Source organism: Homo sapiens, chromosome 11, assembly GCF_000001405.40.
Source record: "Homo sapiens chromosome 11, GRCh38.p14 Primary Assembly".
NCBI classification, from domain to species: Eukaryota; Metazoa; Chordata; class Mammalia; order Primates; family Hominidae; genus Homo; species Homo sapiens.
The window spans coordinates 110,568,035-110,588,958 of NC_000011.10; the positions used below are offsets into that span (position 1 = coordinate 110,568,035).

The window sequence follows — 20,924 nt, forward strand, 5'->3', positions numbered from 1 at the left end:
GAGCTTCCTTGCTCTGTGGTTTGGTGTGTGTCATTAATCATGAGACGTTTTCAATAATTTTTGTTTCAAATGCTTTTTTTGTTTTTCTTCTCCTTCTGGCATTTGCCTTATATATATGTTATACCTTTTGTAATTTTCCCACAGTTTTTGGATATTCTATTTTATATTTTTCACTGCTTTTTCTCTTTGCCTTTCAGTTTTGGAAGTTTGTACTGACATTTCTTCAAGCTCACGGTTCTTTCCTCAATCGTATCGAATCTATTGATGAGCTCATCAAAGGCATTCTTCATTTTTGTTACATCGTTACATTGATTTCTAGAATTTTTTTATTCTTAGAGTTTCCATACCTCTGCTTATGGTATTCATCTGTTCTTGCATGTTGTCTAATCTTTTGATTAGTACCAATAGTATATTAATTATAGCTGTTTAAATTCCTGGTGTAATAATTCCAACATCTTTGCCGTATCAAAGTCTATGGATGTGTTTCACATATGTTCCACTGACATGTTTTTCTCTCTCTCCATCAATACTGTAATCTCCTGATTGCTCTAATTATATAGTAAGCCTTAATTTTGAGAAATGTGGTCTTTTCACCTTATTCTTCTTTGCCAAGGTGATGTTAGCTATTCTAAGGCCTGTGCCTTTCCAATAAATTTTAGAAGAAACTTATCTACAGCTACAAAAATCCTTTCTGGGAGTTTTGGTTGGAATTGAATTAAACCTATATATCAATTTGGGAAGAGTTGACATATTTACTGCGTTGAGTCTTCCAATCCATGATTATTGCATATCTCCCCATTTATTTAGGTCCTCTGATTATTTTCACCAGCATTTCATCAATATTTTGTAATTTTCAGCATTCATATCTTATATATGTTTTCTTAGATTTATGCCTAAGTATTTCATTTTCTTTAATTATAAGTGGTATTGTCTTTAATTTTACTTTCAGCATGTTATTAGCATATGTAAGTATAAAATGATTTTTGTGTGTTGACCTTGTATTCTGTGACCCTGCTGAATTAAATTATTAGTCCTAGGAGGTACTTTTAAAAAAATTCCTTGGGATTTTCTATGACAGTCATGTCAATCATGACACTTGCAGATAGCTTTATTTCTTCTTTTCCAATCTGTATGCCTTTGTTTTCCTGCCTTAGTTCAGTGGCTATACCTTCCAGTAGTATGTTCAGCAAGAGTGGTGATAGCAGACATCCTTGGTTTGTTCCTAATCTTAGGAGAAAGCATTTAGTCTTTCACCATTTCAGTATGAGATTAGCTGTAGACTTTTTGTAGATTTTAAAAAAAATCAAACAGGCTGGGTGTGGTGGCTCATGCCTGTAATCCCAGCACTTTGGGAGGCTGAGATGGGTGGATTACCTGAGGTCAGGGGTTCAAGACCAGCCTGGCCAACATGGTGAAACCCCGTCTCTACTAAAAATACAAAAAATTAGCTGGGCATGGGTGGCAGGTGCCTGTAACCCCAGGTACTTGGGAGGCTGAGGCAGGAGAATCGCTTGAACCCAGGAGTCGGAGGTTGCAGTAAGCCGAGATCATGCCATTGGACTCCAGCCTGAGTGACAAGAACGAAACTCCATCTCAGAAAAACAAACAAACAAACAAACAAAACCAAAACACAAACAGGAAACAGGTATTTTCCTTCTAACTTGCTGAGTTGTTATTTTTTTAAATCATTAATGGGTATTGGATTTTCAAATGTCTTTCTGTGTCAATTTATATGATACTATGATTTTCCATCTTTAGCCTGTTGATATATGGTTGGTATACTGATTTTCAAATATTGAACCACTTGCATATCTGAAAAAAAAATCCTACTTGGTCATTGTAAATAATTCCTTTTATTCATTGCTAGATTGTTTGCTAATTAAAAATCGGCATCTAAATTCATGAGAGACATTGGTAATTCCTTCTTTTCTTCCTTTTCTTTTCTTCCTTTCCTCTTTTTATTTATTTTCATACGGTCTTTTTTGGAATTTGTATCAGGATAATACTTGACTTCATAAAATGAGTTGGAAGTGTTTCCTACTTTTCTATTTTCTGAAAGAGACTGTATAAAATTGGTTACAATTTTTCTTTAAAGGTTAGAATTCTCCAGTGAAACCATCTGGGCCTGGGAGATTTTTTTCTTTGGGAGCTTTACGTTGTGAATTTATTTAATGATTATGTGACTATTCAGATTATGTTTCATCTTGGTGGTGTATTGGTAAGTTGTGGTTTGTCAAGTTTATAAGTGTGAAAATTATTTGTAGTATTCTCTTATTCTTTTAATGGCTGCAGAATCCGTAATGATATCTCATGTTTTATTCCTGATATTGGTGATTTGTTTTCTCTTTCATTAGTCTTCCTAGAGATTTAGCACTTTTATTGATTTTTAAAAATAAGCCATCTTTTTAATTTTCTCTATTTTTCTATATTCAATTTTATTGATTTCTGCTTTGATCTTTATTATTTTCTCCCTTCTGCTTGTTTTGGATTAATTTTGCTCTTCTTTATCTAGTTTTTTAAGGTGGGGTCTTAGCTTATTGATTGGAGATCTTTCCTCTGTTTTAATGTAAGCATTTAGTGTTATAAATTTTCCTTTAGGCACTGCTTTACCAGTATCCCATATGTAGTAAATCCTCATTTAATGTCATCAATATGTTCTTGGAAACTGTGACTTTAAGCAAAAGGACAACAAAATGAAACCAATTTTACCTAAGGTTAATTGATATAAACAAGAGTTAAGATTCTTTGGTGTTTCTGGTCACAAACCCTGTCAAACTTCTAAATAAAGACCCAAATTATTCTAATATTGAATCTTGGAATAAATGCTAACTCTATATATTTAAAATAGATTAACAAACACAAGTAAGATACTTACTCAGTTGTTCCAATTCAAGGTCTCGGGTGGCAGGTGCCTGTCCTGGCAACTCAGCGTGCAAGGCAGGAACCATCCCTGACAGGATGCCATCCCAACGCAGGGCACACTCACACACCCACACTCATCCTGGGACAATGTAGACATGCCAGTGGACCTAACGGGCACATCTTTGGGATGTGGGAGGAAATCAGAGTACCAGAAAAAACCCAGGAACACGTAAGGACAATGTGCAAACTCCACACAGACAGTGGCCCTAGCTGGAAATCTATTTATTTATTTTTCTTCAGTGTTACAATGAAACAACATTGAATGAAATGACGTTATTCAAGGACTTGCTGTATTTTGAAATGTTGTATTTCCACTTAGTTTTGTGATTAAGAAAGTTTTCTTTTGAAACTTCCTCTTTGACTCACGGATATTTAGAAGTGTGCTGGTTTTCAAGTGTTTGGAGATTCTCCTGTTATCTTTCTGTTATTTACTTCTAGTTTAATTCCACTGTGGTCTCAAAACATAGTCCGTATGATTTCAATTATTTTAAAATGTTGATGTTTGTTTTATAGCCCAGAGTACAGCCTCTTGGTATCTGTTCCTTGAGCAATTGAAAAGAATGTCTACTCTGCTGTTGCATGGATTATTCTTTAAAGGCTGATTAGATATGATTGATGGTGTTGATGAAAATTCTTCTATATCCTTGCTGGTTTTCTGTCTAGTTGTTTTATTGAATTGTTGAGAGAGGAGTGTGGAAGTCTCCAACTATAATTGTGGATTTGTCTATTTCTCCTTTCAGTTACGTCAGTTTTTGCTCTAATGTTTTGAAGCTCTGCTGTTTGTGCATACACGTTTAGGATTGCTATGTCTTCATGGTGGATTGTCATGAAATGTTCCTTTCTGTCTCTGGTAATTTTCTTTGTTTTATAGGTCTATCTTTCCAGTTTTAATATAGCCACTCCTGCTTTCTTTTGATGAATATTTGCATGATACATCTTTTTCACCATTTTACTTTGAACCTACCTATGTTGTTGAATTTGAAGTTAATTTTTGTACATAAGAAATATTAGGTCATTAAAAAAAACTGTTCCTCCTCCACCCCATACACACTTAAACACTCTGTCAATCTCTGTCTTTTGATCAGTATATGTAGATCATTTACATTTAAGGCAATTCTTGATACCTTAGAGCTTAAGTATGCCATTTTATTATTTTCTATTTGCTTCCTCTGGCTTTATTATTCTGCTTTTTTTTGCCTTCCTGTGGGTTTTAAAGAATTTTTTTGGAATTTCATCTTGATTTATTTATTGCTTTAGAGATATACGCACTCCAAATATATAGTTTTTGTAGTAGTTGCTCTGGATATTACAATATACACCTGTAGCATATCACATTCTTCTGGTACCAACATTTTACCACTTTGAATGAAGTATGGGAACTTCATTTCCATTTAGGTCCTTTTATCTTTTCCACTTTTCAATATCATTGTTTTGAGTATCAAATGGTGTTATAATTTTTGTTTCAAGTATCAAATATGACTTATAAAACTCATGAGGATTGTCATACATACTCTTTTTTCCTGATGCTCCGAATTTTCCATCATTTACTTTGTTTAAAAAACTTTCTTTAGCAAATCTTTACAGGTATATCTGCTAGTGACACATTCCTGACATGTTCTTTCATCTGAGTATGTCCTTATTCTTTCTTCATTCATTGAGGTTAGTTTCACTGGATATGGGATTCTGGGTTGACAGTTCTTTTTCTTTCTGCACTTGTAAAATGTTGTGCCACTTCCTTCTGGCCTCCATGGTTTCAAATGATAAATCCTGTCATTTGAATTGTGTTTTCCTATAGGTAAGTTGTTGGTTCTGTTTTCAAGATTTTGTCTTTAGTTTCCAGACATTCAATTATGATGCCTTTGCATTTATCCTGCTTGGGTTTGAGTTTCTTAAATGTGTAGGTTTATGTCTTTTACCACATTTGTTCAGTTTTCAGCCATTATTTCCCTGAATACCGCTTCAGCCTTACGCTCTCTCCTTCTGGAACTCTGATACAAATGTTGGCTCTTTTGTTAGTGTTCCACGGGTCCCTGATACTCTATTATTATTTTTTCCAGTCTGTTCTGTTGTTCAGATTGTGATCAAATTCTATCAATCTGTCCTCAAGTTTACTGATTCTATCCTCTGTCATCTCCACTCTGCTATTGAGCCCATACACTGAGATTTCTGCTATTGTATTTTTCAGTTTAACAATTTCCATTTGGTTCTTTTGTATAATTTCTATTTATTTGCTCAGATTATATATATTTTTTCATTTAAGATAATTTGGTTTCTGACACATTTTAGAGTGGCTGTTTTAAAAATCATCTTAATGTTGACATTGTCTTTTCTCATTGAAATTGTGATTTTCCTGGTTCTTGGTGAGACAGGTGATTTTTAATTGTATCCTGGACATTTTGTCTATTATATAAGAGACTCTGGGTCCTACATAAATCTTTTTATTTTAGCAGTCACCTGTTTAGTTTCAGCATCCAGATCTGGCCTGTGTTTGGGATGGGGGCGCCCAATGACAACTTAATTTTCAGAGCTTTTGTGGTGTGTTATTTTGATGTTTCCAGTCAAGGAGGCCTCTTTGTTCCTCATGCGTGAGACAGCCCTGGCTGGGTATTTTTTGTGGTGGAATCCTTCCCATACCGTCTGGCTGTTTCAGTGTCTTTGGACAGGGGAAGGGAATCTTACAGCAGCTGTGGCGAATTAGCTTCCCAGGATGAGCTGCCTGTTGTGGCTGGGTCCCTCTTGCTGTTGTTGCCTGACCAACTATCTTTCAGGGGTGAGGGGAGTCTCAGGCCTAGCAGGAAAGGTCATTTATTACTAGTGGAGCTCTTATCAGTCCATCTTGCCGATGGTTCCTGCTTCACCCAGTGGTGTCAGAGGGCTTCTCATTGATCAGGGAAAGGGGCATTTCTGAGCTGCCCTGTGTTGCTAGTTGGGAAAGGTCAGGCCTTGGGTCACCTTCTTCTACTGGTGAGGAGATGTAAGATGCTCTGCCACTGTGTTGTTCCCCCACTCCTAGAGTTCTAAGCCAATTTCACTGCCTCTTATCCCCTTTCAAGATTCTCTTTTGGCTGTCTGTGGTATATTTACAGGATTTATAGTTGTACTTAGCAGAGAGGAGCATGGAGACACAAGTCTGCCATTTTGTGTAAAACAAATTCTCAGTCCAATTATTTTTATATTTATCATAGCTTTCTGATTTCTGATATGATTTTCATAAATTTGAGATACCCAGCCTAGACACAAGAATTTAGGAAAGTCTGGATGGTCCTCACATACATAATTTGTGCCTGCTTTATTATGAAAGAAGTATTGTCTTACCTATTTTAAGAGGAAAAGGTTAAAAAAAAAAAAAGAATCTGTGCTCAGAATGAGGTGCCAGCTGAATGTACCCAGGACACAAGATCTATTGTGAGCATTAAATGAAATACTACATGTAATACATTCGTCACCAGTGCATGCATGCAGCTAAGTACCCAATAAATGTTACTGTTCCCACTCTTCTACACAGCCCAATTTTTCCCTTCTCTGTTTAAAGTCCTTGAGGACAGAAATAATTTGTCTTTTTCACCTTGTATCACTAGGGTCTGGAACAGTATCTGGCAATAACAGTTTAGCTGCCTGAATAACATTTTATCACTTTTAACATTTTCATTTCCCCAAGCCATGCTCTTTCCTTCTTTTCAGTTTTTTTTTTTTTCTTAAACTCCCTGTGATTCAGTTTCTTGTACGAATTATAATGCTTACTTAAGGCTTTCCCCTCACTTGCTGTGCCATCAAGCAGGAAGCGTCTTGTGTTCATGTATTTTGATGATTCTCTGCTACTTAATCATCCCCTTCTTGGGAAAAGATACATATTTCCTTTCCTCCTGAAAATTTTAGGCAGTAACAATCACAGCCCCTGTGATCTGGCAGAGGAGGCGCATTTCTTTGTAGCACTCATTTTATTTGCTTAGAGTAATGGAACTACCTCACAAGTTTTTAGCTGATTTATTCACTTCATGGCAGATAAAGCGGCTGCAAGGAGAAGTCCTAAATTTAATTCCAAGTTACTGTAATCTAATATCAAGTCTAGACTACAACAACTAGCATTTAAATCTTAATGTCTCCAAAGCCTATATATTACCATGTAAAATTCAACTCCAGAAAACATATATTTTGCTTTAACAAATGTTAAAATATATTTTGATCTAAAAATGTGTATGTGTTCTGGTGCTGCACTATGTGAACACACATTAAAGAACAATGCTTGGCCGGGCGCGGTGGCTCACGCCTGTAATCCCAGCACTTTGGGAGGCCATGGCGGGTGGATCACCTGAGGTCGGGTGTTCAAGACCAGCCTGACCAACATGGAGAAACCTCGTCTCTACTAAAAATACAAAATTGGCTGGGCGTGGTGGCGCATGCCTGTAATCCTAGCTACTCAGGAAGCTGAGGCAGAAGAATCACTTGAACCCGAGAGGCGGAGGTTGCCATGAGCCAATATTGTGCCATTGCACTCCAGCCTGGACAACGAGGGTGAGACTCTGTCTCAATAAAAAAAGGAGCAATGGTCATCTAATAAATACCATCATCTGTGTGTACTTCATTGGGATTTCAAAACAAAACTTTCCAAATTACAACCCAGAGCCCTCTGTCAATTAATTCTACCATAACATCTGACACTATGGAGTGCAGAGCTAGAGTTCATGGTATTTAAAAACAAACCTGAATGCAACATGAAGGTGGCTCAGGAACGGGGTAAAATGCTAGCTCAGGGTAAGTCAGCACAGAATTCAAGAATACTTAGAAACTTACCTTATGAGAAATCCTCGCAGCCAGAATAGATGTTGAAGAAAGTAAACATTTTATCCAACTTTATTATTCAGGGAATAAAAATTATTTACTAACTTTTTTTGTAATGAATTTTTCTTTGCATTGGAATAGGCAGTTTGTAAAGATGTTCTCTGTGTCGTTAAAACATGAGCTGGCACTTTAGGAGGCCGAGGCGGTATCTCCTGAGCTCAGGAGTTCGAGACCACCGAGGGCAACGTGGTGAAACCCTGCCTCTACTAAAAACAAACAAAAAAATTAACCAGGTATGGTGGCATGCACCTGTAGTCTCAGCTACTTGGGAGGCTGACGCAGGAGAATTGCTTAAGCCCCAGAGGCGAAGGTTGCAGTGAGCCGAGATTACGCCACTGCACTCCAGCTTGGGCTACAGAGTGAGACTCCGTCTCAAAACAAAAACAAAAATGAAAACAAAACAAACAAAACATGACCTGGAAGGAAAATACAAATTAAACACTTGCCACCAAAATTTGGATGAAGATACATAATATTCTTAGAATTATTTTTTCAGCAGAAACAATATGGCATTGGTTCAAAGATATACATTAGATTCCTTCGAAGCAATGTCATGTCATGAAAAGTAGAAAAGCACAAAGGAGATAATCTCTTAAATTCAGTGCTTTTAGATGAAGACTCTTTTTAAAAAGTGAAATTATCATTGTGTTTCTGTAATATTTAGAGAGAAATCCTGTCTGGACTAAAGTAGAATATGTTTTTGAATCCCTTTGAAATAGTGATTAACTTTACACAGAGGGAACCTCAGCCAACTTTCAGATGGCAAAGCTGTAGTAGTCATGACAATCTCGTCATATTAAATACATTTATATGACCTGAAAAGCACTGATGTCTTGGTATGTGTCTGGGGTCATCTGGGTATTCTGGTTAGAATGGTCCAAACTTAGATAAGAAAATCTCACACAATCGAAGTGATCTTATGGTTCTTTGACATAAGAATACTGACTATATCTCATTCCAGGAGCACAGTGAAAACACAATGCTAAGAAAATGAAGACTTTGTATCTAAAACATGACTTGTTTGTTTGGTAAATAACATTAGAAAAAAAGTATTTTAAAAAACCACTTTTCCTAAAAAGACAGACTGACCACAGGTTCTGACTAAAAGCTCAAGGTTCAAATTCAACATTAATTATACTCTATGAAATTTCCAATGTTAGATTATACTCTATGAAATTTCCAATGTTAGGCAGAGATTGGGATCATTAACTAGAACAATTCTACAAAGGGCAATATTGCTCTGGTGGGATGGTTAATTCTGCAGAATGGCATTTTATTTAACAGACAGCATGGACTTCATACATATCCATTATCAGTGCCTTGAAAACCAAACAACTTTAAAAGTTAGCAGCAGTTTCTGCAAGTACAAAAATACACATTTATTACATAACATATGGTAGTAAAATTTGTCAAGATATATTATACAAACTCAAAGCATTTTAGATAAAGCATCAGTCTAATATATTATAGATTGATGGAGTATAATAAAATGACATATAGTCTGTCTTCAAATCATACAATATAATACTTTACAGCAATATTAACAAACTATTCACATTAAGAATTACAGGAGTATCTAAGGGAACACAGATAGTAGGAATGGTTATTAAAAAACCTCAGCAACTATTTTCTTCTATGCTTCAAATTGGGTGAATGATTTTTTACCTGCTAACATGAAAAAAAAAAAAAAGGCAATTTCTTCCAGAAAGACACTCCAAGCCGTTAAGAGCTTCATTCACATCTTGCAGTTCTGACTGACAGTAGTATGCCCTAAGGGAAAGGGGAGTCCCTGCTGACTTTATATATTATACCAAAAAAGATGCATATGGACACTTAGAAGTCTTAATATGTAGGACTGGTTAGTTATAAAGTGAAATCGACTTCACATCTGTGACTCAGATGGCCAGTGTCACGAAGTAGCTCTTTGGATACAGAGTTCTAAAAGATCATTGTAATGGTTAGCGCAAACAGGGCCATGTCCCCAAGAGGTAGGTAGCACCTATAGCTAATACTGAAATAACTTCTTCTATCTTAGAGAAAATATTTTTTCCCCTATAACTGAAAATGCAACCTTTAGAACAAAAAAGAAAGAACATTTGATATGACCATTTTCTGGTGATTAATAAGACAAATAATTTGGAATAAGCTAGCTTGTGAGAGAAAGGTCCATCTGATGGTGAACTAAAGAGTTTAAATAAATGGGCTCAGAGCAACTTCTTATAGGTTAGTAGTTAATGTGAAAGAAGATGCACATCCATTTTTAGTGCCATCCCTGCATACTAGTTGGCAAGGCCTGATAATCTATTCCTAGGTGACGAGATGTACTGCTGCAACCTTTAAGTCAAGAAAGCAGAGAAAGAAAGGTCCATGGATATAAAATAAACCAATGGGGTATAAGCCATGAAACATTTGGGGCAAAAATATGGAACAACGTCTGGAAGCAAAACCCAAAGCAAATGGCTGTCTGAGAAGGCCTGGCAGCCACTTTGTTGGGTATTCTATTGTGGGACTCCTTATAACCGGCCAACCTCAATATTGCTCTCTCAATTGCCAAACTACAAAAATCAGAAAAGGGATGATTTATAAGTATGTTTTTCTGGCTGACTGTAATCTAAGAGGCAGGACTGTGCAGAAACATTTCAGCAAAGTGATGCCATGGTTTGATCACATTTTAACAGCATTTGTGTAATTGAGAAAGGACAGTTGTTGTGGTCTTTTCCTCCATATTGAGAGTGAACGCTGTCAGGAGGTCACCTTCTAAATAGAAGAAGTTGCATTTCTGAAGAATGTTCCTAGGCAGAGATACCTTTGAAAGGGTACTGAAATGGGCAGCCATTTTCTTCTTTCTCCTCACAACTCTGTTTCCTGAAGCCTTGCAAAGCACTTCAACATGAATGAAAAAACAAACCGACAAATACAACCAACAAAACTGATATCATGGTACCCATGGCTTTTGAGTCACTCTGTTTTTCTCCACTCTAGCTGTAGCAATGGGCTGGTTCTTGGAATGATTCTGTAAGGACACGTGATTAGTAAGATCCCACAAAAATGGCCACTGGCTTAGATTTAGGGAAAGATTTTATATGATGTTCTTCATTACTGGACACACTTAATGCTTTGATTAGTGGCATTTTTCTTGCCTACTTATTAAAAACATTCCATGGAATGTAGATGGTTTCTCTGTACCCTTCCCCTCTCTCCTCAGGCCCCTATTCCTCATTCCTGATATCTTGGTCTTCTCAGGACATCAATCTCACAGACTGTTCCCATAAGTGCTTCCTCTGCAGAAGATGCTTTCTCTAGCCCTCTGTTAGTATCTCTAAAACCACATGACAGGACCAATCCCAACCTTTAATAAGAAAAAGCCTCCCAAACACTTAGGTGACAAAATTTTTAGCATAAAGTATTTGTCAAGTAGTCTCAATAAAGAGAATTATTTCGTTGTCCTAAGTATTAGCAATGATAATCCTTATGCTACCTCTCCCAGGTATCTTATACAAAGGGGTCATAATAATTATTGTCTATTATTATTAACCCAGTTCCTGTTCTTGTGGACATCAGATTCTTACTATGCTTAAATGTCTTTGGTTAAATACCTGTCCTCAATGTCGCAGACCACTGTAGGCCCTGAGTCTGGGCTGGTCGCATCCTCTAGAGTCCAAGAGCTGGCTGAGGCTCTTTCCCAAGGCAGAGAACCAGAAGAGCTCTGACTACCAGGCTCTATTTCCTCATGTGACTTCATGCACAGCTTAAGTCTGCTCTCCACCAGGCTGAATGGAGAGCTACAGTGTCTCTCTGAGTCCTGGAAGGGAGAAGAACTACACCTTTGGGCTGACTGCACAGGGGACAGTCCTTCAGCTGCCCTTAAGGGCAAGTCTTTTTGTTCCTCTTGCAGTGAGTTGGCTTCTGGAACACCAGAAGCATGTGGGGGTGGCTCTAAGGGTCCTTTTGGAGAAGCTATTTTCTCTTCCTCTGGTCTGGCTGCCTTTGCTTTCTTTTTGAGGGACCAGTTTTTCAAACTGGCCACACCATTTCTCAACCATGTGCTGGGATGAAGAGTTACAGAATGCATTTGTGAATGCCACTCCATGGTGTCCTTCTTTGTATAGGCTGGGCGGCTGCAAGCCTGCCCTGATGAGGGACCGGGCATTCCGGAAACATGGCTGGCATTGCTAAAGTCAGGAGAAAGGTCTTCCCGTTTTCTCTGAGCCTGAAAAGTGCAATCTATTGGAGAGGAAGTCTCAGTGGGTGTAAACACAGAGTGTTCAGAAATCTGAGAAAAAGCACTGTCTTGGGAGCTTACTGATGAGCCGGATGGGGAAGTGCCTGGGGAGGATAAGCTGGAATAGCTGGTCCTTGGGCAAAGGTTTAATCTTGGGGGTAAAACCTTCTCAGTGTTTTGGTTTGTGGCACTACTCTTGCCCACCTCAATCCCCATGACTAAACTCTGATTAATGAGCTTCTGCCCCTCCATTTGCAAAGACTTATGCCGTTTGAGATAATCCTCCTCTCCATGCAAGAGACCAGCTTCACAGCTGGTTTTATGTTGTTTCTTTGAATAAATTCCCCTGAGATAGGTCAGCTTGCGGTTCTGGTCTTCTATGTTGGGCTCTGAGCAGCGCCGATGTGTCCTTGGACCCTTGAGGGCATCTGCTGTGTGTGGTGGGGAGTATCCAGATGTATTCACATCAAAGGGCTGGTTCTTGGAATGATCCTGTGAGGACATAGGACTATAAGATGCCACAGAAATGGCCACTGGCTTAGACTTAGGGAAAAGTTTCACGTGATTTCCTTCACTACCAGACAAGCTTTTCTTCTTAGTGTTTTGAGTAGTGGCATTTTTCTTGCTGACATCAGTGCCTGTGACTAAACTCTGTTTAAAACATGTCTTTCCTTCCTCCTGGAGGGGTTGATTCTGCTTCAGATAGTCTTCATCTTTTTGAGAAAGAATTGCATCACAGCTGGACTTGCGTAGCTTTTTCTGATAAAACTCCCTGAGGTAGGAAAGCTTTGAATCCAGATAGTCGATGCTGGGCTCTGAGCAACGCCGGTGTCGCCTCAGGCTTTTTGCAGCATTTGCTGCAGCTGTGGACAGGTAGCTGGGTGTGCACATGGCAGATGGGGCCCTGGCATGATCCCGCAGTGGGATCTTTGTGTACACTAAAATGTTCACCGGCTTGGATTCAAGAGGCCGTTTCATTTGAACATCTTCATCTTTAGAATGGGCCAAGTCAAAGTCGCTTAGGGTTAAAAGGCCTTCCACCTCGGGCTGGTCAAGATCATAGTCACTGAGGGTTAAGACAGAGTCCATGCTTCTGCTCCCCTGGCCAAGTTTCTTTACCAAGTCACTGCATGGTGCATCAACATCCTCATTTAGCTCATTTTCCAAGCTGTCATAGGAGGAGTCATTCAGTTGAAAGCAAGAAATATCTGTCAAAAAAATTAAACCATGATTAACATATTTACTTACCACAAATATACTCATGCTTCCTTAAGAACAAATTCTCTTTTCATGTGAAGTGTTCAAATTCCTACTCTCAAGAAAGAGAGAATCTTTCACAATCTCAATTGTTAGTGAAGAATAAAAATAAAATTGCTGGGGTATAGGAGATTTATCTCAGTTCCTGACGAATGGGCTTTCCTTAAGTAAGATTTTCTTAAAGCAATGAACATGTCATATGACCAAGAAATGGTAAAAAATATGAAGGAATTATTGCCTTCATGGTATAAGTATATCCAGATTCTGAGTAAGACTCTGCCTTCTAACAGATTGCTAGTGGTTATACATACTTAACACTAGTCTTGGGGAAACCATTTACTAACTCTAACAATGTCTCTTTTACAAAGTTCCTTAATATCCATTACCTTATTTAATCTTTACAACAACCATAAAAGTTAGACATTATTTTCATCCACATTTTAGAGATAAAGACAATGATGTTCAGTGGCATAGAATAATTGGCCAAAGATAACATATCTAGTAATTGATGGCACAAGGATTCATATTCTGAAGGCAGCTGTATGTCTTCGAATTCAGTGTTCCCCCACCTCAAATGATGCTAGTTGTTTCAAACTGTTTCATAGCACACTAGAATTCTGACGTGTCTGAGGGACCAGTACAAGGAAGGAGAGGACAAAAAAAAAAAAAAAAAACATTCATGCCTCTACTACCTCTGGGCTTTCTACACCAGTTTCAACCATAGCAGTTCTATTATATATATTAGGGTTATTCATAAAGTTAAAAAGCCCATCAAAAAACATCATACCACAGCATGCTGCCACTAACTTATTGAAGGCTGGAACCTAATCTCTATATAGTTCTTAATCCCACTACACTGTTAACATATGCTGACCTATTGGCAGGCCATCTAAGGAAGGATCAAAAAGCCCTGGGCCCCATTGACCTGGATCAGAGGCTCCTTTCACTTCAGCTGCTGTGGGCTCCAGGAAAACCCCTATCCCAGCACGTTTACAAACAACCATGTGTCTGTTTCTCACAAAAACCAATCCAATTATTCACAATACCTGAGGCATTCTCTCTAGTGTCACATCTCACTGAAACCTCTCTGAAGAGGGAAGTGATTTCTTCTCCAAATATCCTAAGGCAATTCTCAATCAGAAATTGTATAAGCAGGGAAACCTGTAAGAAAAAGGACAAACGAAGTATTACTTTTCATATTACATGTTTATAAATCACATTTCATATATAAATCCTGATTTTTAACAAAAACCACATCTACCCAGAGAAAAATTCATATCGGCTTTAAAAGTACATTAAACAGTTTCCCTAAAAAACTATGATACTTTTAAAAGTAGTTTGGGCATAGAAATGTAATCAGTGGACTAAAGTTATTATTTGTAGCCTTGGCTTAATGTTTTATACCAATGGCTCTGTCTGTAAAATTGGGTAAAGAAATATATTTTGTTATTAAAATTTATAAAGCATCATTAGACAAAGACTTATAAAAACTATTTCTTGTGTAAAGGGCAGGCTGTCATAAGCTTGGGAAGAGGGCTCATCTGCGAGTGCACTGTGAAGGAGAAAGACAGCTAGAAAGAAAACTTGTGTTCCTGACTAGTCTCTACCCAGTCATTTGGCTGACAGGTCTATCCATGTACTGCCACCTTCTGATAGGCTCCCTAACAAGAGGTGCTTGCAGGGAAAGGTAAGAGTTTACTAGGGAGCTTTGTGACTCCATTGAGAGGTACTGGAACCTTTCTGAAGTTCCCTTGCCCCAGTAGCTGAGGCCAAGGGGCAGGAGAAATGTTAAGAGCAAAGGGAACTGATATCCCCACACCCCTTATTAACTGTCAGGGACTACAGGAGTGTGATTTCAAGTAACTACTGTATTATCACCGACTCCATTTTATTTTTAGATGAGGACACTGTGGGTCAATGTAATTTTGCCCAAGACTGTACATCTGGCAAGGGGTGGAGCTGAGAATGGAAGCTTAGCTGTCCTAGTTCCAAAGTCCTTTTTTTCTTTTCATTTAAAAAATCTTATCAGCTGCTTTATCACTTTATGGTTTTAATCATGGTGTTTAGCCTCCTTAAAGGGAAAAGAGAAGTAACCCATCTGCTATCATTTTCTACTTAACAATTCACTTTCCTATAGTCTACCAGTAAAGTCAAATTTATAAGGATACGGTATATTTAAGTTATTTAAGAAATCATCTTTTAGAATACCCCAAATTTCAGTTTCAAAACGGGGACTCAGTCTCCCAGGGCATAAAAATGAAAAACTTCATTACCTTTTTTGTAAATTCGTTTTCTAGTTCTGGGCTGGAGGAAGCAGGAGGCCAAAGAATACTTGGAGCGACACACACAGCTAAATTAAATGCAGTCATCTGATTGGATGAGGAATGTTGCTCAATGTTGTGTAACACCCCAAAAAGATACCTTAGGAGAACAACATTGGCTCTCGGAAGCTGGTCTAATAGCCTAAAGACAGAAAAATTACTCTTTAAGCAAGACATTTCATTCAAAAACTTGTAAAGACAAGCAACTCTCACTTTGAATGGGGAAGAGGGAAATCAAGAACACAGTTCAGATATGCAAGAGTTTCAGTTAACATGGTACCATACAAAGTGAGGACTGCCTGTACAGAAAGAAAAAATAGGCATTGGGAATTTATTTTTTGTTTTTGTATATTGTCTTCACATCTCAAAGAAAATGTAAAAGAATGCAGAAAAATATTTCATTAAAAAAAATGCTGCCTGAAATATTTCCCTGAAACTAGCATAATGCAAACTTAGGCCAATCCTGTAACATTTCAGAATATTTTCAACCAAAAACAACAAAAAGCTTTCTGATAAAATTAAACAGCAATTTATAAAATGCTCATTTAAGTAGCAACACAGAAATGCTGTCTCTTGGTAAGAACCCAAACCTTAGCTATCAAGACGTCCAGGTCCATTTTGAGAGCTTATGTTCTGCTCCACCAACTTCCAAGGTCAATTTTGTCCTAAATCTGTTTCATTGTATCACTTTCACATATCAGTTGCTTATAGTAGATTTTCTGCTGTTCTCATGTTGTAATTGATAAGGGATTTGTAAATGATCAGTCAGCAAAAATGACTACTATTATCCCAAAAAGTACAAATATACTGATATTCATGACTGTTTTTTTTTTTTTCAATAGAAACCTGCAACCTAGGGAAAAGATGATAGTCTGACTGCTGCTTGCACAAATAGCAGGGAGGCCTTTCTTTAGTACAATGGACTGACAATGAGCATAGTTTTTGTAAGGGTAAGTTATGAAGGACTTTGAAATAGAACAAAAGATTACTGGGTGTATTCAATGGAAAATAAGGCATCTAGCATAAGCTTTTGGGTTTTCTGCTTCTATGGGGCCCTAAGATTTTTCACAATAAGAGCTATTTTACAACTCTGTGTAAGTTATAACTAACTGATAGCAGTGCATCTAATACTTGTCTAAAGATGTGAAAATTCTGGTGGAGAGAACTGATTGATCTGCATCCCTGCCCTGATAGAAGAGGTCAGTTTTGTTTGTATTTATTTGCAAATTCACTTTAGCATTTCTGATTCATATATATATATGTGAATATATAAATGAATATATATGTGAATGTAAAAATGAATATATGTGAATATATATATGAATATATATGTGAATATATGTGTATATGAATATATGAATATATGTGAATATATGAATATATATGTGAAAATATATATGAATATATGAATATGTATGTGAACATATATGTGAATATATGTGAATATATATGAATATATGAATATATGTGAACATATATGAATACATGAATATATGTGAATATATGAATATATGTGAATATATATGAATATATGTGAATGTATATATGAATATATACATATGATTTCAACTTTGAAATTTCCTTTGAACTGGTTGTAACATCTTACTAATCTTACTAGTTCCCTCATAAACGATTTAAACAAAATATTTCACGTGTTTATATTTGCATGAGAGTCATAATTTTACCTTTTTCCAAAAAAATCCTTTAACAGCTTATAGGATATATAGCAACACAGTTTAGAATTTGATGCTCACTATCTGAATGGTTTACGCCAAACTATAATGGAAGTGGAGGTGGTATTTTGTTAAACGGCCTTGGTTTCTGGTGTCTTCAGCAGCTGTACTATGTTCTACTGGTGAAAGTTGTAGATAATTCATATATGAAAGTTGCTTAAGAAAAAACAACTGTACTAAACAAGCAAATGCAAGTAAATAATATTGAGATTCTTGAGTATTCACAGAACTAGAAATACTGCTTTTTGTTAAGGGACATTTCTTTCTTACTCTCTTATAATGCAGGAAAAGTCCAGGAATGGGGTAGTGAGTTCTACCAGCAATTTCCCTTTGCATGAGTAGAGACAGTACATCCTTTGTGATCAGACGTCCTTTGCAACTCTGCTTTTCCTTTCCACTTTTCAAGGACTTAACTGTGTCTTTGCTGTGCTTCCACAACACTCTCCAAATCTCTCTTCTAGCACTGATTGTACTGCATTGTAATTCTTGATTTTTCTATCTACCTTACCAGACTGAGTTCCATGAGAAGACAGAATAAGTCATTTTCTCTGTATGACTTCAGTTGGTGAATGCAATATATGATGAGTTGTCTGGTTAAATATTTACAAAAATTAAGATCATAAACTGAAGATTGGGTGTATAGTATTAGCTAGTGGACTAATGGATTTCAGCTCCTATCAGATTCAGGTATATGGAAGGTGTACAATCTTCAAGTATTACAATGTTCAACTATAAGATTAAGAAGGAAAACAATGACAAACTAGCATACATCTATTTTTAAACTGGTCCACATGGATATGACTTTGATAGCTGTCATTATTTTAATAAATAATCTTATAAAATATTTTTAAAGTATTTTTGAGACATGACCAAATTAGAATAATTACCTTTGAACAGTATTTATTTTCTCTTCATCATTTCCTTGATCCATTACAGAGACCCAGTGATCATAGAGATCTGATGAAAAAATACTTCCTGGAATATTTCGCAGAAAATCCTTAAATAGATGGAAAAACAAATATTTCAAATAATTATCCTCATGCCAAATATGTATTAGAGAAAGTAGAAGACATTTTGTTGAAAAGTTCCCTTACGTACTCTCTTCTGTGAACTACACAGAGCTCTGCGCCAACTCTCCATTGACTTGGGGACACAGAAACATGTACTTTGATTTTCTTATAGCAAAGATCATTGGGATAACTGGAGTCTTCATTACGGTGGGAAAATAAAGGACAACTCATTTGGCTGAAACTTACTGTTTGCATATATTTTAGTGAACTAGTATGACATGACAAGGTCTGGCAGTAAACCATCCTAAATTCCTTTTCCCCTGTCCCTTAGACAGCTAGTTCAAGGAAATGTACCAAGGTATCTATGAGGTTCATTGTCTGGTAGTCATTCATTGAATCATTCTACATGCATTTATTCATATGTGCCAAGCACTATTTAAGTTGCTAGGGATAGAGAAGTGACTAAAACAAAGTCTCTGTTATCTTGGAACTTTATATTCCAGTGTTATTAGTGCAAAATTGCATCAAGAGGTACTTAAGGTTTCTCCCTGTATTCCCTGTAGAAAGGCTCTCATATATTTGGAGAGAGAGAGCATTTCAGGTGATGGCTGGGTTCTAGAAATTTAGGCAGCACACTCATGCCTGATGTATGCTAAATAACATGTCCACAGGATATTATCCTTTTCTAGGAGACCCTATTCTACTGAGACCACTGGCAGGGCTGAGTGTGGTAAGGCTGAACTATGACACAAACAGGATATGACCAAGTATGTTTGTTGTTTAGCTTTTGTTGTTTGGCTTTTGTTTACAAAAAGCTTAAAAATAACAAAATTTGGTTCTTGTCCTGGTCCTACAGAGTTGATTCTAGGCCAACTGTCTCTCTTGCTTTTGGTATGGCATTACCAAGGTCAAGCTTGCAGTCTGATCTCCACCTTAGTAAACTTTAGGCAGAGTAAACTCAATATCGTGTTTAAGTACCATACACATGGTTGGCTACCCTCTTGCAATTTCATGCTTGCAACATGAGGACAGGTGAAAGTCTGCAATTGGGCAATTTTACCTCTTGCTAAACCAAATAAATAATTTTATCTATGTGCCTTATTGAAGGCAACACACAACTTGCTACTTAGATATCATGTTTATAACAGTAATATAGAAGCTGTGATAACTTATTGTTACAATCAGCTGATTATGTGGGCATCTTCCCCACTTGCTTATGAGCTCCTCCAGGGTAGGGACAGACCCTTCTTTGTACATGTCAATGCCAAGCACAGTCCTAGCCATAGTAGAGGACATTAGTGAACTGCTGCTAAATTGCATATGGCCAAATATTAATGGGAGCCAAGAGAAGGCCAATCAACTGTAACTGAGATTTTAAGATAATTTGAAAAGCCTCTTTGTAGTCATGTCACTTTATTACTATCCTTTTTTTTTTAGAATGTTTAACAAGAAGGAAGAATGACTAATTCAAAGTCTTCTTCTGTTCTATTATATCTTCTAGCAGAAATGTACCTGCATGCTTGTGATTCAGGTATATCATTACAAAAGTTACCTCTTTTTGGGTAAAGTGATTGAATTTTCATAATTCCAAACTAATTTTAGCTGCTGTACCCACTTTAGAAGTTAGATTTAGAAGAAGCAAAATCTGTTATTTCAAAATGTGGTAGGGACAATAGCTCTCTTTTTAAATCTCAGTGGAAAACATACTTATGATCTGTCTTGAAGAAAAACATCATTAACATCTTAAACCTACACTTGAAAGATAATAACTCGTAACATCTCAATGAACTCTCCCACAGCTGGAATAACAAGTTACGAAATACCACCATCATCACAGCTGAGAAGGATGTGAGAGCCGATTCTGCACTGCAATCACCAGCTCACAGCACTTAGTTGAATGTCTCCTCTCCTCCAAAACCAGAGCCAAGGCCATCAGCAGAACCCTCAAAGTCATCTGAGATGAGATACTGCAGGATTAAATATGAACTTTTCCTCAACGGTTTGATGGATCAAAGTTATAGTGTCTTCAGCAATTTTTATCCAATTATAGTTTGAAGAGTTAAGCTATAACTTAAACTTATATTTAAGCAAAACCAGCATAAGTGAAAAAAAGTACCACTTCAAAACAGATTCAAAAACAAGAAATAAAACAAAAGCTTAAGAACTTTTGCTAAAAATTATCTCCCTTTCTGCAACCACTTGGAAGAAAAGGGGGTAAAACATACGATAAAATGTTAATTACTTGGAACACATTTAACCAGACTTTTCAATCATTTGGATCATTTTTTGCCTTTTGGTTATTTTTGGACAAATATTTCTGCAATTTGAAACATAATTTAACTCTTCTAGAACCATGCTTCTTTGCAATAGCATCAATAGTTTAGCACAAAATTTTAAGAAGTGTAATGCTATGAAGAATAGCATAGTAAGAAATTTTTTTTTCTGCAAACATTCTTGGTTGTTAAAGAAAATTGTTTTAAAACACAAGCTTGGGAGGCCGAGGCGGGCGGATCACGAGGTCAGGAGATCGAGACCATCCTGGCTAACACAGTGAAACCCCGTCTCTACTAAAAATACAAAAAAATTTGCCAGGCGTGGTGTCGGGCAACTGTAGTCCCAG

General features: G+C 37.0%; 1 protein-coding gene and 1 long non-coding RNA gene across 8 annotated transcripts in view; one reads left to right on the plus strand and one right to left on the minus strand.

Annotated features, from left to right (window-relative positions):
- ARHGAP20 (Rho GTPase activating protein 20) overlaps window positions 9,009-20,924 on the minus strand; it is a 136,147-nt gene continuing 124,231 nt past the window's right edge. For all 7 annotated transcript variants that reach the window (NM_001258418.2, NM_001258416.2, NM_001258417.2 and 4 more), the window contains 4 exons: window positions 18,182-18,291; window positions 15,514-15,703; window positions 14,287-14,401; window positions 9,009-13,191 (listed from right to left, as the gene is read on the minus strand). In NM_001258418.2, coding sequence (NP_001245347.1) covers window positions 11,336-13,191; window positions 14,287-14,401; window positions 15,514-15,703; window positions 18,182-18,291 — 2,271 coding nt within the window. In that variant the 3' untranslated portion in view covers window positions 9,009-11,335. The remainder of the gene's footprint in view (window positions 13,192-14,286; window positions 14,402-15,513; window positions 15,704-18,181; window positions 18,292-20,924) is intronic.
- Window positions 15,699-20,468, plus strand: LOC124902753 (uncharacterized). The gene is made up of 2 exons (XR_007062888.1): window positions 15,699-16,511; window positions 20,104-20,468. It is a non-coding gene; the product is annotated as an uncharacterized LOC124902753 (long non-coding RNA).